This window comes from Homo sapiens, chromosome 10 (assembly GCF_000001405.40).
Source record: "Homo sapiens chromosome 10, GRCh38.p14 Primary Assembly".
NCBI lineage: Eukaryota > Metazoa > Chordata > Mammalia > Primates > Hominidae > Homo > Homo sapiens.
The window spans coordinates 132983080-133007580 of NC_000010.11; the positions used below are offsets into that span (position 1 = coordinate 132983080).

General features: G+C 56.5%; 1 long non-coding RNA gene across 1 annotated transcript, besides 5 other annotated features; it reads left to right on the forward strand.

The window, feature by feature from the left end:
* Positions 524 to 1039: an enhancer, noted in NCBI's record as "H3K27ac-H3K4me1 hESC enhancer chr10:134797107-134797622 (GRCh37/hg19 assembly coordinates)". NCBI's record gives its function as "activates a minimal SCP1, AML or CMV promoter by ChIP-STARR-seq in naive H9 embryonic stem cells {active_cell/tissue: H9 hESC(naive)}" and the evidence as "EXISTENCE:reporter gene assay evidence [ECO:0000049][PMID:30033119]".
* Positions 1040 to 1553: an enhancer, noted in NCBI's record as "H3K27ac-H3K4me1 hESC enhancer chr10:134797623-134798136 (GRCh37/hg19 assembly coordinates)". NCBI's record gives its function as "activates a minimal SCP1, AML or CMV promoter by ChIP-STARR-seq in naive H9 embryonic stem cells {active_cell/tissue: H9 hESC(naive)}" and the evidence as "EXISTENCE:reporter gene assay evidence [ECO:0000049][PMID:30033119]".
* Positions 1554 to 2068: an enhancer, noted in NCBI's record as "H3K27ac-H3K4me1 hESC enhancer chr10:134798137-134798651 (GRCh37/hg19 assembly coordinates)". NCBI's record gives its function as "activates a minimal SCP1, AML or CMV promoter by ChIP-STARR-seq in naive H9 embryonic stem cells {active_cell/tissue: H9 hESC(naive)}" and the evidence as "EXISTENCE:reporter gene assay evidence [ECO:0000049][PMID:30033119]".
* Positions 8288 to 8789: an enhancer, noted in NCBI's record as "H3K4me1 hESC enhancer chr10:134804871-134805372 (GRCh37/hg19 assembly coordinates)". NCBI's record gives its function as "activates a minimal SCP1, AML or CMV promoter by ChIP-STARR-seq in naive H9 embryonic stem cells {active_cell/tissue: H9 hESC(naive)}" and the evidence as "EXISTENCE:reporter gene assay evidence [ECO:0000049][PMID:30033119]".
* On the forward strand, positions 11080 to 12496 carry LOC107984283 (uncharacterized). Its single transcript, XR_001747674.2, has 3 exons — positions 11080 to 11258; positions 11794 to 11999; positions 12140 to 12496. It is a non-coding gene; the product is annotated as an uncharacterized LOC107984283 (long non-coding RNA).
* Positions 11155 to 11837: an enhancer, noted in NCBI's record as "H3K4me1 hESC enhancer chr10:134807738-134808420 (GRCh37/hg19 assembly coordinates)". NCBI's record gives its function as "activates a minimal SCP1, AML or CMV promoter by ChIP-STARR-seq in primed H9 embryonic stem cells {active_cell/tissue: H9 hESC(primed)}" and the evidence as "EXISTENCE:reporter gene assay evidence [ECO:0000049][PMID:30033119]".
* Positions 12497 to 24501: the final 12005 nt, after the last annotated feature.

Here is a 24501-nt window from a genome sequence, read left to right on the forward strand (position 1 = left end):
GTAACCCTCCTCCCACCCTCCGGCTCCCAGCGCCGCCTGTAACCCTCCTCCCACCGTCCGGCTCCCAGCGCCGCCTGTAACCCTCCTCCCACCCTCCGGCTCCCAGCGCCGCCTGTAACCCTCCTCCCACCCTCCGGCTCCCAGCGCCGCCTGTAACCCTCCTCCCACCCTCCGGCTCCCAGCGCCGCCTGTAACCCTCCTCCCACCCTCCGGCTCCCAGTGCCGCCTGTAACCCTCCTCCCACCCTCCGGCTCCCAGCGCCGCCTGTAACCCTCCTCCCACCCTCCGGCTCCCAGCACCGCCTGTAACTGCGGCCCTCAGGGCAGTGGGTCTTCAGGCCTGGCTGGACACCCCAGCTTAGAGCTCGCTCAGGCGGCCGGTCCATGACACCGTCCTGGGCAGGCCTTTCATGGACACACACTGGCCTCACAGTCGTTCGGGGTCATCTGGTCTCACAGTCGTTCAGGGTGGCCTTGAGAATAGGTGGGTGGGGGCAGATAGGACATAGTCACCCCCCCTTTTTTATTGGGGTAAAATTCACCACTTTAGCCATTTTAAAGTGTGCGAGTCTGGGTGTGCAGGGCTTGTAGAGTGCTGTGCAAGCATCACCCCTGAGCTCAGAACACGGCGTCGCCCGAGCTGACCACCGCTCCCCTTCTCCCGCCCTCCAGCCCCCAACAACCAGGAATCTCTTGCCGCCTCTGGATTGACCTATTCTGGACATTCCACGTAAATGGAATCATAAAACATACGGCCTTTCGCGTCTGGCTTATCCACGGAGCGAGATGCCTTCCAGCTTCATCACGCCGTAGCCTGCGTGGGTTCTGGGTCCCTGTCCTCGTCACTAGTCGCTCCAGTGCATGGATGAGCACGTCCTGTTCACGCGTCCTCGCCATTGGTGGTGTCTGGGGGGCTCCCCGCTGCTGGCTGATGCGAATGTTCCTGCACGTGTGTTTGTGTGAACGCCGGCTTTCAGCTGAGGGTGGGGCTGCTGAATCTCACGGCAGCTCCGAGTTTAATTCTCGGACGAGGCTCTCTGTCAGTCGCGCGTGACCGCGTGGGCTCAGGCGTCTGTGCGAGTTGCTGCGCGCGTGTGGGTGTGCGGCCGACGTAAGCTCGTCTGCGTCCCTCCCGTTTAGTGCCCGGGGTCGGGCCGTCTGTTACAAACCGTCCTGTTGGTGTGAGAATCCAGACCCCTTGGAAACTCTCAGCCGTGCTAAATTATGAGTCAGATCAGGGAAGCTGCTGCTTTTTCATTTAACTGCATCTTGAGCTTGAGTGTTTTTTTATTTATAAAATCAATGACTGTGTGGTTTTTAAAATTAAAAATCTTCATAAACTTATCACTGAGATGAACACAGGTGAGATCCTCAAAATGCCTCCTCTCCGAGCGCTTTCGGAGATAAAAATAAAAGCCATGCACCTGGGGGGGTTGTCATCTTTGCGGTAGAAATTCCTCCCATGTTGCAGGTCTGGCCCTGGCTGGGCTCGGCTGCAGGGCCTTCATTCACCGCACTTAAAGGTGTGCCAGCCCCTAGGATTTCCCCTGTCGTGTCTTCCTGGGCTCCTGAAGCTGGCTGGGCAGTTTCTGTATTTCTCTCCTTAAGGCACAAAGATGCGGGTCAGCATTCCGACGCTCCCAGCTTTGGCTGCAGATGCTTCCCTGTCGTTTAGTGTCTACGGGGCTTGGATTGTCCTCCTGACGTCGGGACTGGACACAAACCGTCACTTCTCGAGCCACCGCAGGTGTCCTGGAAGTCCCACCTCTGTTAACAAGTGGCGTCTTGGGTCTGGGAGGAGTTGAGTGCTGTTCCAGGTGCTGAAGGGAGGTTCTTCCCTCCCGACCTTGGCTCGGCTGCAGCTGGGAGGGGCTGAAGAAGGGCTCCCAGGACCTGCCCGTCTGCCCGTGAGGCAGATTCACCGCCTGTGGGGGTCAGCAGATCCTGAGAACTGACGGCCCAGGCTGAGGGCTGGCGGCCCCACACCAGGCACCTCGGCCCCAGGACGTCAGAAACAGGCTGGTGGGTTGCCCCAGGCGGGCCGGCCCTAGGTCTGGATGGCGAACCCAGGCTGGTGCTGGGAACCCTCAGGCCTGCCCCACCCGGCACGCACTCCAAAAGGGCTCCGGCTCTGGTCCCATCTCGGCAGGAAGGGTGGTGCCTTTGGAGGCTGGACTTCAACAGACATGAGCTGTCCTGGGAGCAGGGCTGGAAAGCCCAGGCCTTGGTCACTGGATTTGCAGTTCCCTGCTAGAGAAAACCCCTGAGGCATTCCTTGCCTGGGAAGATCCTTGGAAGCTGCTCCTGTGTCCACAGCTCATGGCCACCCACAGGGCTGTTGTGACCAGAGCAGGTCAGGCGTGGAGAAGGCTGACCCCTCCTTTCTTCGGGGTCCTCGGGGCGGGGTGCCAGGGGCCCCCAGAGATGACAGTGGCCTGAGGCAGGTGGCGGTCGTCTGTGGATGGGGTAATGTCTTTAGGACATCCAATTACAGAGACCAGAGGAGGAGCTGTCTTTACAGAGAGAATTGAGATGACGCTGAGACCTCACTTTGAGCAGCTGAGCATGTGGGGTAGCCCTGACCAGATGGGGACATGGGCGGCTCAAGGGGCCTGGACGCTGCAGTGGAGAGGGTCCCAGCAGCGGGGGTGCAGGGGGTCAGGAAGGGTCTAGGTGGGGGTGCAGGGGGGTCAGCAATGGTCCAGGTGAGGGTGCAGGAGGTTGGGGAGGAGACAGGGTGGGGCTGCTGGGGGTCGGGGAGGAGACAGGGTGGGGGTCCAGGGGGTCGGGGAGGAGACAGGGTGGGGGTGCAGGGGGGTCAGGGAGGGTCCAGGTGGGGGTGCAGGGGGTCGGGGAGGGTCCAGTTGGGGGTGCAGGGTGATTGGGGAAGAGAAAGGGTAGGGGTTCAGGGGGCTCGGGGAGGGTCCAGGTGGGGGTGCAGGGGGTGGGGGAGGAGACAGGGTGGGGGTGCAGGGGGAGTCAGGGAGGATCCAGGTAGGAGTGGAGGGGCTGGTCAAGGGGCCCTAGGCTGTCCTCAGCATGACTGCACTCTGCAGTCTATGGGAGCCCAGCTTTCCTGCCCAGCAGTGGCTGCAGGTGTTGGCCGTGGGGCCTGTGTCCCAGCATGGCTGGCCAGGGTGTCCCTGAGGGAGGGTTGGCCTGTCCAAGGCTGGCTACTTGGGCAGGTCCCGGGGGTCTTGGACCTCGGCTTCCTCGTTTGTGGCATGATCATCTAAGCTTGAGAGCAGGGCCCAGCTGGAGGAAGGGGCGGCTCTGGGTGGGTGGTGGGGAGAGGCCTGGCAGGCGTCACTGAGCTCTCTCCAGGAGCCCCTGCTCAAAGGGTGTGGACGCTGCAGCTCTGCAGGTGCCAAGAGCTCCTTTCCCCGGATGCCTGACTCCACAGAGCAGTTATAAGTACCAAGCTCAGTGTGAGGTCAATGGGGTCCCATTTCCAAACCCACTCAGTGGGTTCTCCCAGCAAGATGTGGCCTCAGCACATTCCCAGGAAACACAGGGAGTATTTCCTGGCCCCTCCCCTGAGGGTCAGGGACAGGGATGGGACCTTCCCCTGAGGGTGGGGACAGGTCACAAGCCCTTTGCCGTTTTCTGGGAGGCCTCCAGGGCACCAGACCAGCAGGGTGGGTGTGGCCGATGCTGGTGCTGGGGGGTCCTGAGCACTGGCTGAGGCCAGCAGGTGCAGCGGGCACCCGTTCCTCTCTGTGGAAGCTGGTCTTGCCTGTGGGCCCGGGTGGCGGAGGCTGGGCTGGTGACGCTCTTGCTGTGAGAAGGGAGGCACGTCACAGTCCACAGGGACTTCACTGGCACTCATGGCTTCCAGAGTCTTCTCTCCTTGAGTTTTGAACATTCCCAAAGTGTTTTATTCACAAAGGTGTTTCTGATGCGTGTAGTTGAACTCTTGGGGCCAGGGGCTATCCTGCCTGAAGATCTTGATTTGAGAATTCTGTGGTCTCGCTGTCCTTTGGGAACTGAAGCTGATGGGTCCACGCATCTTCATTTCACTCTTCTGCGTGGCCTGCTGCAGGCGGCACGTCTGGCTCAGCACACGTGATCTGATTCTGCGAAAATTACCCGAGAATGTCAGGATACGACAAACACTGGTGAGAGCCGTAGCTGGAATGAATGTCAGGGTGTGACAGACGCTGGTGAGAGCCGTAGCTGGAATGAGGAGCTTTAAAGTGCTATCAAGTATAAGTTCTTATAAACAACTGACATGGCAATTTATACCCGATAGTGGCTCACACAGATTGTCATTGCCAATTCTGGAAAAGAGGTTTACACGTCAGTGGTCTCTATGGTCTTCCTCATGGACTTTGAGGAGACATCCGTTCGTAAAGTCTCGAGATCATGGGAGGAGAAGGTTAGTGGTGCTCAGACTCCAGCATGTGTGAGAATCTCAGCTGGTGAGAACACCCGTCCCAAGGATGTGTCTGGGGCCGTCATGAGGGGCAGCAGGAGTCGGCCCCCTCCGAGAGACTGGAAATATGTTGGTACCATCCAGGCCCCCGGCAGGAAGGACCAGGCATCTCAGGGAGAAGCGGCCCTTGGAGTCCTCTTGGAATAGCACCTCTTTCTTTTTTTTTTTTTTGAGATGGAGTTTCGCTCTTGTTGCCCAGGCTGGAGTGCAGTGGTGCTGCGATCTTGGCTCACTACAACCTCTGCCTCCCAGGTTCAAGCAGTTCTCCTGCCTCAGCCTCCCGAGTAGCTGGATTACAGCTGTGAGCCTCTGCGCCCGGCCAAGACAGCACCTCTTAAACTCCGGCCTGGAGAGGCAGTGGCCCTGGGCACCTCCCCGCTGCACACAAGCCCCATCCACTCATGTGCTTGGCTTTGTCCTCAATGCTGAATCATCTCCAGCGGAAGTCCCTGGCCCAGACTCCGTTCCACAGCATCATTCAAACTTAACAAGCCAGAGAGGGTTTAAAAAAATGTATGGTTAGAGGATGCTATATCCATCGCCGGCAATCCACATCAGCGTTAAAGGCCATTCTTCATCAAGATATATTTTAACTATGCAGCCAAATTATACTCAATAAACAAAATGCACATTTAACTGGAACCAGATGAAAACGGAACGCGGGAACAGATTTGGAAACAGAATGAATGCCAGGCATGTGGAGTTTAAAAAGAAACAAGTGACATAATTACCACTCACGGAGCCAGATGGCAGTGCCCGGGTTTTGAATCTGCTGGTTATCACCAGGATTCTGTGGAGAGAAAGCTCGTGTGGTCACAGGAAGCAAATCCGCCTCCGAACCCTCTGAGAGCTGCCTTGGCTTTCGGCACCATTGCGCCGGGGGTGCCACATGAGGGGGTGGCTGTCTTCTGCCGGATTCTGTGCGTCATGAGCGCCGAATGTGGGGAGCAGGGTACAGGATTCCTGCTGCACGAGGGGCACCACCAGCAGCTGGGTGCCTGAGGCCAAGGCTGACTTTACAGGGAGGGGCTGAGGCCCGGGGGTGCTGACCTTACAGGCAGAGACCTTAGGCCTGGGGGTGCTGACCTTACAGGGAGGGGCCTGAGGCCTGGGGGTAGCTGACCTTACAGGGAGGGGCCTGAGGCCTGGGGGTAGCTGACCTTACAGGGAGGGGCCTGAGGCCTGGGGGTAGCTGACCTTACAGGGAGGGGCCTGAGGCCTGGGGGTAGCTGACCTTACAGGGAGGGGCCTGAGGCCTGGGGGTAGCTGACCTTACAGGGAGGGGCCTGAGGCCTGGGGGTAGCTGACCTTACAGGGAGGGGCCTGAGGCCTGGGGGTAGCTGACCTTACAGGGAGGGGCCTGAGGCCTGGGGGTAGCTGACCTTACAGGGAGGGGCCTGAGGCCTGGGGGTAGCTGACCTTACAGGGAGGGGCCTGAGGCCTGGGGGTAGCTGACCTTACAGGGAGGGGCCTGAGGCCCGGTGGGGGGGGGGGGGGTGCTGACCTTACAGGGAGGGGCCTGAGGCCTGGGGGTAGCTGACCTTACAGGGAGGGGCCTGAGGCCTGGGGGTAGCTGACCTTACAGGGAGGGGCCTGAGGCCTGGTGGGGGGGGTGCTGACCTTACTGGGAGGGGCCCGAGGCCCGGTGGGGGGGGTGCTGACCTTACTGGGAGGGGCCTGAGGCCAGTTTGTTGGGGAGCTGCTGTTCCCCTCTCTGTGCCCTGGTGTGGAGCTGGTGGCGGGAGAATGGGAATTCTTATCTTGGGAAGAAAGACAGTGTGTGGGGCAACAGTGGGTGCCGGGTGCTTTGAAGATCTGGTTCATAGCAAATATTCGTTCGTTTAATCCACCACACCGAGGCACACTTTCCAGAAATGAAATGCACACGTTTGAGGGGCGGTTGATGTGTTTTGGTGGGTGCCCTCACCACTCTCACCCCACAATCGGGATACAACTATTTTCTTCACACCAAAAGTTTTCTCAGGCCCCTGGGTGCTAAGCCTGTGCGCTGTCAGCCCCCCGCAGCCCTGGGTCTATTCCGCCAGGCAGGTGGGCCTTGTCTTGTGTAGGACTTTGTGGACGTGGCCCACACATGGGATCTGGGCTGTGGCTCCTCCACTCGGCTCTCGGGAGCCACCGTGGTGCTCGGTGTGTGTCGTGGGTGGATCTGTTCCTTCGAAGCGCCGTGCCCTCTGCACAGACGTGCCACCACGAGGGTGCGTTCTCCTGCTGAGGGACATGCGAGCTACATTGCATCTTCACCACGACCTGTAAGCTGCTACCCATATTTTTGCATAAGTGCAGGTAGGAACACATTCTTATTTTTCTTGGAGAAGCAACGGGAAGTGGGATGGGTGGGTTGTAGGTGACACACGCCGTCTAACTGCCCAGGAAGCTGCCAAGTTGTTCTCCAAGCAACTGCTCCACTTGACATTCCCGCCAGCAGAGCACGCGTGTTCCGGTACCTCCCGCCCTCAGCAGCCCTAGCCCGGTCGGCGTTTGTGTTTTTAATTTTGGCCATTCCATTAGGTGCACCGCGATTTAATGTGCGTTTCCACGTGGATTAACGGTGTGAACTGTCTCTTCGCGTACTTGCTGGTTGTTTGCGTGTGTTCTTTGCTGAATGAAGTGTCTGCTGGAACCGGGGGTGTGTATTTGTATCAGGTTGTTCGTTGTCTTATTTCTGGGCGACGAGTTCCTCGTCTATTCTAGATACAAGTCCCTTCCCAGATCCGGGCATCGCAGACAGTTTCACCTGCTCAGGTGCTTGCTTGTTCATTCTCTTAACCGCACCTTTCGAAGGGCAAACATTTTTAACTGCGATAAAGGCTGATTGACCAATATTTTCTTTTATTGTAAATAACTTTCTCATTCTTGATATTGTTATTTTGTGTTCCCTCCTTTTCTTCTGCTCATTGCAGCTGGAGATTTATCCGTTGTATTGATATTCTCAAAGAGCCAGATTTCGGCTTCATCCGTTTTCTCTGTTGTTTTTCTGTTTTCTGTGTCACTGATTTTTGCTCTGATCTCTGTTATTCACTTTCTTTCTGCTTGCTCTGGATTTAATTTGCTCTTTTTTCCCCACTTTCCTACAGTGAGAGCTGAGCTCATTGATGGGAGGCACCTTCCTTTGCTAAACAGGCATTTTCCACCACGTACATCCTGCCCTTCTCGCCCTCCTCTCCCAAGACCCTGAGTGTGAGACGGGTCCCGCCAGCCCCGAGACCCTGAGTGTGAGACGGGTCCCGCCAGCCCCGAGACCCTGAGTGTGAGACGGGTCCCGCCAGCCCCAAGACCCTGAGTGTGTGACGGGTCCCGCCAGCCCCGAGACCCTGAGTGTGTGACGGCTCCCGCCAGTCCCGAGACCCCACGTGCATGTGGCCACATGTGTGACAGGTCCCGCCAGTCCCTCGGGCTCCATCCCTCGTTCGAAGAGGACATGGGGTGCTTTGCCTCAGTGGATGGAGGAGACCCACACCCGTGTGTTTCCCGGGCAGATGGAGCGCTCAGCACTGGGCACTGTGCCCAGTGGTTTCACTGTCGGATAAACATGTTTCCAAAAGCATCTTTACCCCGTTACATCCAATTCCCCATGATTTGTGTAAGAACTTTTTACATTACTTTTTAATGCTAATGAAGCCCTTAACAATCAGATGGGGTGTCAAAGGAGGGGGCTCCATTCCCATGAGGCCTGAGGCCCACACCAGGCTCCCTGTCATGGAAGCTACACACCCCCGGCTGGCACCCCCGTCACAGTTGCTGGGGCCCTCCTGCCCCTGGATTCCTGGCGCCCACCTCCCTGGGGGTGCTCTTGGCTCTGCAGCCTCCCCACCCATGCTCTCGGCGGCCTCCCTCACTCTCACCTCTTGTTTCTGTTTCATGCTGCAGTGACAGTGAAGGGAACCGTCCAGGCTGCTCCCCGTGGGCCTCCTCTGGAGCAGGCCTGGCAGCAAGTTGGTGCCCCCTCAGCCTCTGATGAATGAGGGGGGTGAGGCCTGGGCCTCAGGGCAGCTCCTCCAGCCCTTGAACTTGCTGTGGCCCCAGGACTGACCAGGCTGGACAGCCAGCCACACTGACCAGTGCCACGAGGGACCGTAATCGCCAAGGAAACCTTCCTGCATGGGGCATTTCCACTCTGACCCAGGCCCAAATACAGATCCAAAGAAAGAATATGCAGGAAATGTGTGTGTGCTGGGGGGACTCATATTCTCTGCTCGAAAGTGGAATGATTTATGATTAAAGGAAACACAGGCGCCAATGGCCCCCCAGTGCCTGGAGCCCCTCGCGTCCGACCTGGGTGGAGTCCACCCGGGGCCAGCAGACCTTGTCTCTTTAATCACGGCAGGTTGTGTGGTCTGCACCTGGGCACCTGTTTCCTCAGTGAGCGTCTGAGCGAGAAGCCAGGCAAGGTCACAGGCAGTCAGCAGAGCAGCTGAGTCCTAGCAGGCCTCCCACCCTGTGGCTGCTGGGCCCTGCTCACAGTAGGAGATGGGGAGGGATTCATGTCAGTTGACAAAGAGACAGAGGTAGGGGGCCTGGGGGTCACCCAATCAAAGACCACTTTTCCCTGGTACCTAAATTCCATCCCCCAAGCAATGGAGGCCACTGGACATTCCTGCAAAAGGGGCAGCCACGGTGGCCTTGTCCCAGCGTCCTTCACTCAGGCTGTAGTTTAGGTGTCCTGCCTGTGAGCCTCGAGGACAGAGGGAGCCTCGAGGACAGAGGGTGGACGGCGCCCTGACTGTCCCAGGTTCCAGCCTCAGCCTGGGCTGTGGTGTCAGTCGGTCCCCAGGGCTCAGGCTGGCGGGAGGCAGAGGAGGCAGCAGCGGGGGCGGGGGGAGGGGGCGGGGTGCAGAGGAGGAGGTGGTGGGTGCAGGGGTGCTGGTGGGATGCAGAGGGGCTGCTGGCAGAAGCTGGGAGCAGCTCACTGGACTCCTCAGCCCGGGAGCCAAGTGCGAGCGCTGCCAAGTGTGCAATCCTGGGTCCCTGGGCCGGGGCATGGACATTGCTCACCAGGCAGCCTTCCCATGACCCCTGGCATCCAGGGTCCCCAGGGCTGCCACCCCCTCAGCCCCGAGTCTGGGGTTTCATGCTGGCTCCTCTGTCCTCCCGGAGCAGGGTCTGGCTCTGTGGGGTCTCTCTGTGTTCGCATCCTCGCGGGTCCTCCCACCTCCGCAGCCGTGGTGCGCTTCCCGTCCTTGAGGCTGGACAGGCCAGCACCCACCTCGCCCGCACATCCCCGGCCATCCCTGGCCACCCCCACTGAGGGGAAGAGTGAGGGTCCTGGGTGTGACTTTCCCCAGGCCCTGCCAATGGGGACCAAGACAGTGAACTCAGGGGGCCTCGGCATCACCAACTGTGTGGCTGGGAAGGAGGGCCCCACGGACTGGGGGCCTGAAGGGGAAGCTCAGGGCACCTGTAGGCGGCAGCGAGAGCCCCTCCTCGCCCCGTGAGGACCCCGAACGCAGCCTCGTGCTGTGATGACCCTGAGCCCGTCCCAGCACCAGCCCCGCCCCCGGCGGACTCCAGGCATACCTGGGCGGAGACTCTCAGGGCGAGGCCATCCGTGGCTGATGGATCTGGGCGAGTGGCCTCTGTTCCAGCGTGGATCCAGCTGCATTTGTGAAGATGTACTTTTCTCTGAAATAGAAGGAACTGAGACGTAAGGCTCTGGGTGTGTTTTGCCGGTGGAAGTCAGCTGTGTCTGAGAGAGTCAGCTGTGTCTGAGGGTCCCCCATGGCCGTGGCCTCACAGGGCCTCCCCATCCCTCCCTCCTGAAGCCGTGGGGTCACAGGTCATGGCCAGGCCAGGCCATCTCCCACCCTGCGGCAGCTCCTGCTACGTTCCCCAGAGTGGGGGACGGTGCCTGCTATGGGAGGCAGTACCGCAGTAGGGCCCACGGAGGTAGCAGGTCTGATGTTGCCTGGCCCCTGAGGGTGCTGTGTGGCATGGCTGGGCCTCCCTGATGTTGCCTGGCCCCTGAGGGTGCTGTGTGGTGTGGCTGGGCCTCCCTGGTCCTGCTCTTGGTGGGGCGCCAGCTCAGGGATACGGTGGTGGCCGTGAGGGAGCCACGCTGGGAGGTCCACGTCCTTTTGAAAGAGAAACTGCATGAGAGTCGGGAATTCCCCATTGGTGCCACCTGTGGGCATCTGTCTTCTGCGGAGTGTGCGTGAGGCGGCATCGCACACTGCGGCATCTGTCTTCGGAGTGTGTGTGAGTGTGTGTGAGTATGTGTGAGGCAGCGTCGCACACTGCGTGGACTTTTAACTGCCCGTCGGGATGCTTTGCAGGTGAGTCCCGATAAGCGGAAACCGCAACGCTCCTTCAGCACCAGTGCAGGTTCACGGTTTCATGGGGGGAACGTCAATTCAGTAAGACGAGTGACGAGGCGCGTCTCAGCGGAACCCCACCCACTGCCGTCACCATCGCTGACCACTCCATTGGTTGATGTGGTGAGTGAGTTAGGATTCCACCTGGCAGTGACCTTCCACCTTCCAGGGGATGTCTCAAGCCCACTTCGTTGCCCCGGCCTCAGCCCCCCAGGCCGCGGCCATGGCAGGGTTGGCTCCGCCATCTGGGTCCCAGGGAGGACCTGGGGGCACAGCCCAAGAAGCCCACAGTGACATGAAACCTTCGTGGTCTCAATCCCCTGAGATGTGGGGCGTTTGCTCACCATGGTGTTGCCGAGCCCCCACTCACAGGTAAAGCTCATGAAAAGCATCCGTGACTTCACTTCACGTCTCAGACCCAGAGCGCACTGGCGGGAGTGACGGCTGTCTCTCGAGCGGAACTGTGGACTCTTAGATCCTCACAGGGCCGCCTTGGTGGGTCTCCGCTCTCTGCACCTCTTTCCTCATTGGTGAAATTGGGGTGATAACAGCACCCGGGTTAGGAGGAGGATCAAGTAGGTCGACCGGGAGGCAGTTGGAGCAAAGCCTCTGGAGACGGTTGCTGCCTGCGGGCTGCTGCTTTCGGTTTGAGAACGGCTCCTGCTCGCAGCGGGGAAGGCCGACGGGTGGGAAGGGCGGGAGGGAGAGAGGAGATGAGGATGCGCCCTGAGGAGGCAGCGTTTCCGCGTCTCATTAAGTCCTGACACCTTGTCATTAGCGGGGCAAACCCACCAGAGCTCCTGTTCCAGCTGCGTGGTGCCTCCCGTAGCTCCAGATTACGAGCTCGCTGCCTCAGGGAAGCTGAGTGGCTCCTTAAGGCCCAGCGTGTGGTTTCCTTGCACTTGGGGGGGCTGAAGCTGCATCCTTCCAGGGAGAGCGTTGGTGTCGGATGCTAATGAAGTAAAAGTGACAAGCTTTAAAAAAGGTCACATTCCGGTGGGACCAACCGAGGGATGTTTTTTCCCAGCAGTGCCCTGAGCTGACAGGGCCAGATTTGTGCTTCGTACTGGAAATGCCGCCTGTGCGGCCTGGCGTCCCGGCAGTGGCCTCCTCCTGAGCTCGGGGACAGAGACCTCTGCCTCTGAAGGCCCAGGCCTCACAGCCTGCAGATGCTGCTGCCCGGAAGGGACCCAGCGTGGGGTAGCTCAGCAGGGGCAGGGCTCGGCACTGGGAGAGGTACTGGCCACTGCGGCAGGGACCTGGGTGCGGGATCCCGGATGCCAGGGTGTCCTCTGGATGGGCCCATTTTCGGTACCATGAGCTGTTTTTATAAGTTTGTGTATGGAAGGCTTGTCCAAATTCCTGATTTTCCCCAGGAATAAGAAGAAATCCCTGAGGCCCAGGAGAAGGTAAATCCCAGCGAGCTCAGCCGTGCGTCCTCTGGGACGGCTGCATTGCCCTCACACCTGACCTCCATGTGGGGCAAGCTCAGCCGTGCGTCCTCTGGAATGGCTGCGTTCCCCTCACACCTGACCTCCATGTGGGGCAAGCTCAGCCGTGCGTCCTCTGGGACGGCTGCATTCCCCTCACACCTGACCTCCATGTGGGCTTTCATAGCTGGTTCACGGCTTTCTACGGCTTTTCCAAATGTTCCAGCCTTTTCTGCCATGTCTGTGCAAGAAATCAGCCTATACTGAAGTCATTGCTGTTAAGAGAATAAAATAAATACAAAAGACAGTTTTCTAAAACCCCGTGATTCAAAAGTCACTGGTTCTGGCTTTCCAGTGGGTCATGGCTGGCAGAGGGAGCAACTGCCTTCCAGATGCCAGCTCCTAGCAATGGCCATTCACCAGCACAGGGACCTTCCAGATGCCAGCTCCCAGCAATGGCCATTCACCAGCACTGGGACCTTCCAGACATAGGCTCCCAGCAATGGCCATTCACCAGCACTGGGACCTTCCAGACATCGGCTCCCAGCAATGGCCATTCACCAGCACAGGGACCTGGACGTTCAGAACCCTGTGTGTTCGTTGTTGCTAAAATGCTGCATGGATGCATCCCGGCCAGCTGCACTGTTTTCCTCACTCCCTGCTGATGTGTGGGGACCCCGGGGCTGGACAGGAGCGGCCGACACCAGGCGGCAGGGGCGCAGTGGGCAGCAGAGACCTCGGCTTCCGTCCTTCAGAGGAATGAGAGACGCTGCCCCGAGGCCCAGGCAGTGTCTGGGGCTGCTGTCCCTCACCTCTGACCCCTGGAGGGCCTGGGTTTTCCTGTCCACCACCTGGGGTGTGTCCAGGGGCCTGTGCATTCTGCCATTCTGGGCGAGTCACATCTCCAGAGCACGCTCTGCCCAAGCCGGTCACCTGCCTTCACAATCAGGAACTCACCAGCCAGACTGATGCCCTCTGGCAACCTAGGGCCCCATGCCGTGGGCTCCATCCTCTGTGCCCCCACAAGCTGGTGCCACGGCCCTCTCCCTGATTCTTTCCACGACCCCTCTGATTTTTTCAACGCCGACCTCCCCTAGGTGGGGACCTCCTGCCCCGTGTCAAAGCGATGCTTCCTGGGAGTCTCCAGGTCGGCTGCACAGCCCCGCAGCATGCCTGATGCTGGTGCGCCTGGGTGGCCTTTGACCAAAGCCCACGAAGACCCACCCACGGAGACCCACCCTGACCCCACGGAGACCCACCCTGACCCCACGAAGACCCACCCACGGAGACCCACCCTGACCCCACGGAGACCCTTCCTGACCCCACGGAGACCCACCCTGACCCCATGGTGACCCGCCCTGACCCTCAGCTCTGTCACCGTCCATTTCCATCCTCTGATTTTAAACATCATCTTTCCAGCTTTCTTTGAAAAGCCTCACGGCTTCTGCTCCGGGCTGCTGTGGCGGGAGCTGTGGTGTCCCTGGACACATCCGGCCCGGAGGTGGCTTCCTTGACCGGCACAGCCTCTGTGCGGGACACCGTGTGTCAGGGCTGACCGAGGACGCACAGAGACTGAGGGGCACCATCCTTTTCAGGAGCACTTCCGAGGTCGGCCCCTTCGGACGTTCCGTGTAAAGGTTTGCAGGGTCCACTCTACCAGGATTTGCTTAACTCAGCTTTGTAGTAATGGAAGATTTCTATTTCTGCCGGTTTTAAACTCATGTATGAAAAAGAGACGTGCAGCAATCCTGTCGAGATGTGGCAAGATGCTCGGCCTTTTCCTTCGGAAGCTGATTGCTAGAGCAGGTCATAGCTTGTCCAGTGGATGGTGGGGAGATAATTGCAGTTAATAAAGACAAATTCACGCTGACCCGTGACTTATAAGCCCGATGAATGGGGCTTTGCTCAACATTATAGCTGCAGCTCTGACAGATTGTGCATAACTTAATTTTTGCTTAATTGAGTTATATTCTAAATATGTTCTGAGGCCGAGCTCTCTATTTGAAAGGAACTTGCTGTTCCTTGATGCAGGAGATGTTGTTATCACAGTTGAGGTTTAACGTTAGAACTAAACCAGATTGCCATAAGCAGTTTACTAGCGGCTGTATTCACTCGGGCTCGAAGGGTGCCCTGCAGCCTCTGGCAGGGCTGGCTTTATTCTGCATATTTGATCTGGTTCAGAAACAATGTGTAAAATGAACATTCTGCAGAGTCCCATTTCCCCATTCCCAGTGTCATTTCAGACACATACTTTTCCAGAAAGCATTTGGCCCCACGATCTAATGAAGTCACCTATCTTGGGTCAGATTCCAGGAGTGAAGCGGACAGGCACGCACTCACACACCTAAGTGCACACCTGTGTGCACACCCAGACAACACACTCGCATGCACACAGACAACACATGCACACACAGACAACACACATGCACACACACAACACACATGCACACACACAGGCAACACACATGCACGCACAGACAACACACATGCACACGTGTGCACTCAGGCACAAGCACACACGTGCACACCTGGGGACAGTCGTGCATGCAGTGCCTCTCACATCCATGCTTGCTGACTGCTGCACACACACTGCACGTGCACACCCTCTGTGGGCCTCCTGTGCACTTGCACACACACCCTCCACACAGACCTGTGCCCTCACCCCAGCCCCACCTCAACCCCTGGCAACTGGAATCTGTTCCCCAATTGTATACTTTCTCCACGTTGAGCTGTTGAGCTGTCAGTGGAATCATAACACGTGCAAGCTTCGGGGGCCGGCTTTTTCCCACAGCATGGGTCCCTGGACATACGTGCAGGATGTCCTGTCGCCCATGGTTCGCGCCTTTCCGCTGCTGAGTAGCTCTTCACGCCATGGATGGATCTCAGTGTGTTTAACACTCGCTTGAAGAGCATCCAGGTTATTTCCAGATGCGGCTAGTATGCATGCAACTGTTATCAACATTTTTGTGTGGTTTTTGTGCGAACATAAGTTTCGTTTGTCTGAGATAAATGCCCAGCAATGTAGTTGCTGGGGCACACGCTACATGTACCTTTAATGTTTTAAGAAACTGTCGAACTATTTTCAGAGGCGGTGCCACTTCGCATTCCCACCGGCAGGTGATGGGGATCCGGTTTCTCTGCATCCAGCATGTGCTGTTGATGCTATTTTTTATTTGAGCCATGCTGATAGGTGTGTTGTGATATTTCATTGTGGTTTAAATTTGCACTTCCCTAACAGCTGACAATATTGAACATCTTTTCGTGTGCTTATTTGCCATTTATAGATCCTCTTGGTGAAATGTCCCTCTCTGTCTTCTGTGCATTTTATAATTGGATTTTTTGCTATTGGGTTTTGAGAGTTCTTTATATATTCGAGACACTGGTTCTTGGTTAGAAATGAGGTTTGTAAATATTTTCTTTTAGCCTGTAGTTTTCATCCTCTTAACAACAGGCTTTCACGGGACACGTATTTTCCATTTTTATGAATTTTGAAAGTCCAGTTTATCACTTTATCCTTTTATTGATCATGCCTTTGGTGTCAAGTCTAGCCCTAGAGATCAAAGATACTGAAGATTTTCTCCTTCTGTTTTTTTCTAGAAGTGTTACATTTAAACCTATGGTGCATTTTGAGGTAATTTTCACATAAGGTGTGAGGTTTAAGTCAAGGTTCCTGTTTCCTGCCTGAGGGTGTCCACCTAATTCAGCACCGTGAGCCCATCTCCTAGAGCCCACCAGGATGCCCACCAGGCTATGGACCCCAGGCTGTGTCCACTTAATTCAGCACCATGAGCTCAGCACCATGAGCCCATCTGCAGGACGCCCACCAGTTTGCGGACCCCAGGCCGGGTCTTCCCACTCTACTGTCTTCCTAGGACCCTCTCGTCCTCTGGGCAGTACTGACAGGCCTCATGCATTCCTAGGTCCAGCCAATATCAGGTTTGGTTTATGAGAGGAGACCCAGCCTGGATCAGACCCATCCAGCCAGGCTGGCCACAGAGACAAAGCTGGAGAGCTAGGGCAGGCTCGGCAGAACTCCACCTCCATCCTCTGAGCCTCCCAGTGAGGCCCTCCTGTCTCTCCACCTCCATCCCCTGAGCCTCCCAGTGAGGCCCTCCTGTCTCTCCACCTCCATCCCCTGAGCCTCCCAGTGAGGCCCTCCTGTTTCTCCACCTCCATCCCCTGAGCCTCCCAGTGAGGCCCTCCTGTCTCTCCACCTCCATCCCCTGAGCCTCCCAGTGAGGCCCTCCTGTTTCTCCACCTCCATCCCCTGAGCCTCCCAGTGAGGCCCTCCTGTCTCTCCACCTCCATCCCCTGAGCCTCCCAGTGAGGCCCTCCTGTTTCTCCACCTCCATCCCCTGAGCCTCCCGGCGAGGACCTCCTGTTTCTCCACCTCCATCCCCTGAGCCTCCCAGTGAGGCCCTCGTGTCTCGAGACCTGTCCTCGTGAGCAGATTAGTGTCAAAGTGGGTTCATTATTGTGAATATGCTTGTTAGGAACGTGAGTTTCCCCTCCTGCCCCCTTGTTGTTGCCTTCTGTAGTCCTTCTGCCCTCCCCGATGGGCTGCCACAGCACGAAGGCCCTTGCTGGAGGCCAGCACCACGCCCTGGGGCTTCCCCAGTCTCTAGAAACAGTAGCCAAATACATTTCTGTTCATTGTAAGTTAACCAGTCTGTGGTGTCGTGTTATAGCAACATACAATGGAATGAAACAGGAAGCTGGAAAGATGAGTTATTCTAACAAGGTCTCAAGGGTATTCTGTCCTTGAAGAGAATACTGTATTCTTGAACTTCTTGTCCTGGAAGATAAAGACGTTGCCTTTCCTTCTAGTATAGGACTGGTGTTTTCCACTTGGGAATCTCATCTTCTGCTTTTAAGAAACAGCACAAAGGTCAAAGTGACCTGGTTGCACCTGCTGTGTTTCAAGTGTCTTTAACTTAAAGTCAGTCTGCAAGAACAGCCTATTTCAAGCCCTTCACTGACAAATGTCAGCACCTAGGAGCTGTGCATTCTCCCTGGGGAACTCGGCACCCTGGGCTGTGGAGTGCTGGTCCACACAACCTCTGCTCCACGCAGGGCAGGAAGCACGGCTTCAGGCCTGAGTCAGGCCCCAGCAGGCCTCAGGGGCCAGTGAGCCCTTTCTTCAGCCCTGATGTCCTCTCCAGATTTTTTTTTTTTTTTTGAGACAGAGTCTCGCTCTGTCACCCAGGGTGAAGTGCAGTGGCACGATCTCGGCTCACTGCAACATCTACCTCCCAGGTTCAAGCCATTCTTCTGCCTCAGCCTCCCAAGTAGCTGGGGCTACAGGCATGCGCCACCACGCCCGACTAATTTTTGTATTTTTAGTAGAGACGGGGTTTCACCATATTGGCCAGGCCAGTCTCAAACTCCTGACCTCATGATCCACCCACCTCGGCCTCCCAGAGTGCTGGGATTACAGGCATGAGCCACTGCGCCTGGCTGTCCTCTCCTGATTTTAGGGTGGTCTGAGTAGCCTCTGGTAAAGCCTGCTGACCAGTGGCTGGACAGACCCTGGCACCCCAGACCCTTCCAGACACGGCTGCACACGGCGGCTGCTCTCCCCTCCCCAGGACCCCCATGTGCTTGAAGAGACAATACCCCCGCACTGCCCTGCAGGGCTGCAGCCGGGAGTCGACTCAGGGAACAGCATGTATCAGAACACAGAGGAGTTCAGATTCTCCCTCAGATGCCAAAGCCACTTACATCATGCCACAAATTAATACAAGGAAAGATATGAGGCATCATTTATGCCCGTTAGCTAATAAAAAGGTGTGCAAAGCCATCAGTTTAAAATCTGAGTGCTTCATTATACACATTTCCTGTTTTATAACCTCCACTTCCCCCAGATAAACTTAGACTGGAACACTTTCCCTGGTTCCATGAGTGCACCTGCGGCTTCGTGCATCATTTCTGCCTAACGGAGGTGGTTCCTGCTATCAGCTCTGGGCCACAGTCCCCAGGTCCCCTGGCCTTTCCCGTGACTGTGTGACAGTGGCTGGGCTGCCTGCGTCCTGCTGGGTGCCGGGTCACACAGGCCGTGGGACGTCCTCGCGGGGTTCACACCACTTGCCCCAGCTGGTGGGGTGAGTTCAGGGCAGGGTGCTCTCTGCAGATAACAGGTGGGAGGGGGAGTAAAACCTCCTGAGTCTCCGTCATCCCGAAGCCAGAATCTAGGGTGCTCCAGCAGAGAGAGTGTCCTGCTCAGTCCCAATGCCTGGACACTCTCTCCTGGTGACTTGCAAAGTGATGGTTTGCTCTCTGCTGAAAGGGCTGTTTGACGGAGGCTGTTAGAGGAAGGTGCTGGTCATTTCTCAGGCCGTGGTCGGACCGAGGTCAAGCAGTAAGTTATTAAGCCATGCAGAGATGGGGTGAATCTTAGATGCATCTTGCTAAGTGAAAGAAGCCAGTCTGAACTTACAGGCTCTGTGATTTCAACTATAAGATATTCCGGAGACTCTTACATTGGGTTTTGATGCTGCTGTGCATGCACACTGGAATCGAACAATTAAGTGCACGGATGGTGGATGGTGGGAGCTGGGTTCCTCACCATGCAGTGGGAGGTGACAGATGAGGAAGGAGGGGCTGGAATTGCATGTGGTGCTGGGTTAGAGCTGGAGCCTCAGCATGCGTGCAAATTTAGTTTCATGTAGATACAAACTCTTCCATGGTGAGCTGGTCTATGCAAAGCTACCCCTGGGGCTGAGGAAGCTGAGAGGCCAAAGAAAGAGGCTAACAAATCCAGTTTCTTAGAAAGAAACATTTAGGCCGGGCGTGGTGGCTCACGCCTGTAACCCCAGCACTTTGGCAGGCTGAGGCGGGTGGATCACGAGGTCAACAGATCGGGACCATCCTGGCCAACATGGTGAAATGCCATCTCTACTAAAAATACAAAAATTAGCTGGGCATGGTGGCATGTACCTGTAGTCCCAGCTACTCGGGAGGCTGAGACAAGAGAATTGCTTGAACCTGGGAGACGGAGGTTGCAGAGAGCCTAGCTCGCGCCATTGCACTCCAGCCTGGCAATAGAGTGAGACTCCATCTCAAAAAACAGAACAAATGTCCTGGGCAGCTACCAGATGAGATGGTGGATCCCCAGCCACCACCCCGCAGACCCAGGATGATGAGATGGTGGATCCCCAGCCACCACCCCGCAGACCCGGGACTTCTACCCCACAGGGAAGGGACTTCCAGGAAAATTGAAGTCAACCCTTCAGGGAAAGGCAAGGCCGCTCTGTGAATCTGCCTGAGGGCAGCATTGTGATTGAGGTTGTTTTGACCTGAGGGCAGGATTTATGGAAACAGTAGATAAAGTAGAAATCTTAGAGGAATTTGCCAATGAAAAGAGTCAAATTCTGTAAAATATTTGAAGCGATTCATTCTGAGCCAAATATGAGTGACCAATGGCCCATGACACAGCCCCAACAGATCCTGAGAATATGTATGCAAGGTGGTCAGACTATAGCGTGGTTTTAGGCATTTTAGGGTGACATAAGGCATCAATCAGTTGGTTAGGTCTGGGAAGGCAGGACAACTGGAAGGGGTGGGGCTTCCAACTCATCGGTGGATTCAAAGATTTTCTGACTGGCAGTTGGTTGAAAGAGTTTATCTAAAGACCTGGAATCCATAGAAGGGAGTGTCTGGATTAGGATAAGGGGCTGTGGAGACCAAGGTTCTTATTATGCTGATGAAGCCTCCAGGTAGCTGGCTTCAGAGACAATAGGTTATAAATGTTTCTTATCAGACTTAAAAATGTGCCAGACTCTTAGTTAATTCTCTCCTGGATCAGGGAAAAGACTTGGAAAGGGAACAGGATTCTCTACAGTATGCAGGTTTTCCCCATGAGGGACAGCTTTGCAGGGCCATTGCAAAATATGTCAAAGAAACAGATTTTAGGGTAAAATACTTTGATTTCTTTCAGGGCCTGATCTCTGTCATGTGATGCTAAACTACAGTCAGGCTGGAATTTGGTGTTTTACTGCTACAAATTCTTCAGGTCTCTGTTTAACATTAATGTTGATCACCTGTGCCTGAATTCCAAAAGGGGGAGGGTGTCATGAGTACGTCCAACCCACCCCATCCCAACATGGCCTGAACTGGTTTTTTAGGTTTACTTTGGAATGCCCTTGGCTGAGAGGAGGGGCCCATTAAAATGGTTGGAGGGACTTAGAACTTCATTTTTGGTTTACACATCCCTGGAGCTGGGGTTAATCAGAAGCCAACATGTTGGACTAGCATCTGAGATGGAGCTGCTCTAGCCTGCTCACGAACGGTCACATGGAAACATTTAAGGTGTGAGTGCGGTTAGTACACGCACATACGTTTGAGGTGTGAGTGCGGTTAGTACACGCACAGACGTTTGAGGTGTGCGTGCGGTTAGTGCACGCACAGACGTTTGAGGTGTGCGTGCGGTTAGTACACGCACATACGTTTGAGGTGTGAGTGCAGTTGGTACATGCACATACACTCACTTGCTCTGTTGGCAGAGGGGGTCTGCAATCAGTGACACCCCAGGAGGGGTGAGCACCCTACCACCCAGACCTCGGCTTACAAACACCCTTCTCCAGTAAAAGCAGCCAGGGCTCCCGATCCTATGACTGGGGCAAAAAACACACAAGGTGTGACTGGGGCATCTTGTAGTGCCAGAAAGCAAGGAAGTGCTCAGATGAACAAAGAAATCAAGACAAAACACCCACAGTTATGTCAACCGAAAGAGCCCCTCCATGAGGCGGGGCACATGGGAAGTCTCTGCACCATCTTTCCAGGGTTTCTGTAAATTTAAAGCTATCCTAAGATTAAACATTTATTTAAAAAATAAATGCAGTGTGCATGGTGACTGCTTAGCTGGTTAGCTTCTCTGGGCAGAGGCCACTGGGCAGGGGGAGGATGTCAGGCCTCTGAGCCCAGGCCAGGCCATCGCATCCCCTGTGACTTGCACGTATACATCCAGATGGCCTGAAGTAACTGAAGATCCACAAAAGAAGTAAAAACAGCCTTAACTGGTGACATTCCACCATTGTGATTTGTTCCTGCCCCACCCTAACTGATCAATGTACTTTGTAGTCTCCCCCACCCTTAAGAAGGTTCTTTGTAATTCTCCCCACCCTTGAGAATGTACTTTGTGAGATCCACCCCTGCCCACCAGAGAACAACCCCCTTTGACTGTAATTTTCCATTACCTTCCCAAATCCTATAAAACGGCCCCACCCCTAGCTCCCTTTGCTGACTCTTTTCGGACTCAGCCCACCTGCACCCAGGTGAAATAAACAGCCATGTTGCTCACACAAAGCCTGTTTGGTGGTCTCTTCACACGGACGCGCATGAAAGAGGAAGCATGGGCGTGGACTCCAGACGTGGGCAGTTGGGAGCCGAAGTAGCACCCAGCTGGAGGGCTGAAGTCCTGGGAAGCACCCCCAGCCGTGGGCCCTCCCTAGGTCCTGTCAGCCCAGGATGCTGCATCCCATGATGCATCCTCCAGAACTAAACAAAACCCTCTGTGTGCATTGCTTGGTTTGCATGTAAAGTGGCAGCCTGCTACTGTTTTCCTCAGGAGCAATTTCTTGTCTCAGGTGGGAAGCGATGCTCATTGCAACATTGTAGAAAATGCTGGGGACGGGGGGAGTCAGATGTCACCCAAGGTCCTGTAGCTCTGTGGCTCAGGACAGACTGTGGCTCTGTGGCTCAGGACACACTGTGTGGCCCCGTGGCTCAGGACACGCTGTGTGGCCCCGTGGCTCAGGACACGCTGTGTGGCCCCGTGGCTCAGGACACGCTGTGTGGCCCCGTGGCTCAGGACACGCTGTGTCCCTACTGGCTGTTGGTCCCAGGGAGCCTCTAGCCCCAGACGAGGCTGCATCATCACAGTGAGCCTTTCCCGCGGGTCCAGGCAAGCGTGTCTCTGAAGGGATGGCTTGAGCACTGGTGCATGCAGGTCAGGTGTGGGAGTTCTCCAGCCGTGCCTGGAACGTGATGGGTGTGGATGTCCAGGGATTAAGCCCCACGAAGCCGGGTGTCCTGTGTGCGGCATCACCACCAGGTGTTGCGGGGCTACGCCACAGTTCTGGAGACACAGTAGAGCTTCTGTGTCTGCAAATGACCCTCTGTGGGCTTGGACGTAACATTTCCCACATAAGGAGCCTCCAGAGGCCATGAGTCGTGCCCTAACTGTCCCGCCTTTCTGTTTTTGTGGAGGTTGTTGTCAGAGACAGGCAAAATGACAGCAGAGGAAATTAGAAGATAAAGGGAAATCACTGCTTATCATGCATCTGAAGTCGCATGGGACGAGTCTTCAAAGAAGAAAATAGAAACAAATCATTACCAGTGCGAGCGTGAGGTGTGTCCTGGAAACCACAGCCTGGGCTGCTTCCCACACCTCGACGCGCCAGCTCAGCCCACACTGGCAGCTCCAGCGCCTGACAGGGGACGGTCTCCTGACTGATCCAGCGCCTGACAGGGGATGGTCTCCTGAGTGATCCAGCGCCTGACAGGGGACAGTCTCCTGAGTGATCCAGCGCCTGACGGGGGACGGTCTCCTGACTGATCCAGCGCCTGACGGGGGACGGTCTCCTGACAGAGAACCCATTTCTGCATCTGGGGCCTGTTTGCTGGGGTCCTTTTCCTGTTGACATAAGTGCTCAACTATCTATTTTCCTGGAGCAAAAACCAATCCCAAACACGGCTTTTCTCCTCTGATGTGAAAAACATGACTATTAAGATTTTGCATTTAATATCTGGGAGATTCCTGCCACCATGCGAGGAGATCCCCTCCTGGGCAGGTCCCTCCAGGTCTCCAGAGCCCGATCCAATTCAGTGCAGGAAAGTCCTGCGGTTTGCAGACAACATCTGCCTTTTGCATCTCCTGGGCAGACACCGGGAATCAGAGACTGTGCTTTGCACCCAGAGGTGGCTGTGGAAGTCATCCCCCTTGTTCCCAGCCAGGCCCCTCCCGCCCCACACTACACCAGGCTCACCTGGAGACACAGGGTTTTGTGGGAGTGTCAGCTGTGGTTGCTCTCCTCCTCCGTGCCAGCTGGGACCAGAAAGAGGGTCCTGGGCAGAGCCTCTGGCTCGTGGCCAAGGATGGACCAGGCCTTCACCGGGTGACAAGCTTCTTAGGGACTTCCCTCTGCCGCAGAAGCATCTGGGGGTCTGGTGTGGCTCGGGGCTTCCTCCGGACCCTGGAGGAGATGGTCTGGCTATCCAGATGGGAGTCTGCACAGCAGCGTAGGCCACAGGCCTTGTCCTCTCACAGCCCCAGAGGCTGCAAGCCTGAGATCAAGGTGCCCGCAGGGCTGGGAAGGGTCCTCACGTCCCCACAGCGTTCCTCTCAGTGCATGTCTGTGTCCACATGTCCCTTTCCTTCAGGACCTCAGTCATGCTGGACCAGAGCTCACCCCATGACTAAACTTTAACCCACTTGCCTTCGGAAAGGTCCTGTCTGCCAGGAAGGCCACACCCAAGAGCGAGAGACGGGAACCAGGGACACAGTTCCACTCACACAAGGCCACCTCCCGTGGACAAGTGACCTCCTGTGGACAAGTGACCTCCCGTGGACACGTGGTCCCCACAGGACGAAGAGTCCATCAGGCCTTCCCTGGGCCAGGCAAGGGTTTAGCTTCTGACGACCACGTACTCTGCGGTCTCAGGTGGACGTCGTCCTGCGCCGTGAGGAGGGCCCGAGGGAGAGCGCAGCCAGGGCCCCGGCTCATTCCACAGCCCAGTGAGCAGCCGCGCCTGCCTGGCTGTCCAGAAGGCTCTGGGACCCTGGGACACTCAATGTGGCTCAGCACACCTCACAGGAGGATTTGGCGTCTCCCTGGGGGTGAGGAGCCACGCCTGCCGTGGGGGCACAGGGGGCTCAGGGTGGGAGCAGGTGACATTTGGGGGAAAGGAAATGAGCTCCCCAGGATTCACAGTACCTTCACATCATACAGGGGTGACAGTCGGAACCCGATCTGAGATGGCTGGGGCTTCCCAGCACACGGGCCTCAGTTTACCTTCACCCAGGGCCAACTGAATGGCTCCTGGGCCTCCACTCTTGGGAGGGGCTGGCCGAGGTTTTATGTCCCAGTTGGCCCAGGGCGCTCGGTCACATGGGACATTCCTGCCTGCCAGGTCCCTGTTCCCCTCCCAGCCCCCAGCCAGGCACATGGCAGAGGGAGAGGAATCTCACCTGCCGGCAGTGGTGACAGCCAGTCCCTGGGGAGGAAGCTGTCCTGGAGGGGACACCCAGGCCAGGCTTTGAGGCAAGGAACCAGGGCACAGCTGGCCTCCCAGGGCCTGGGTGGCCTTTG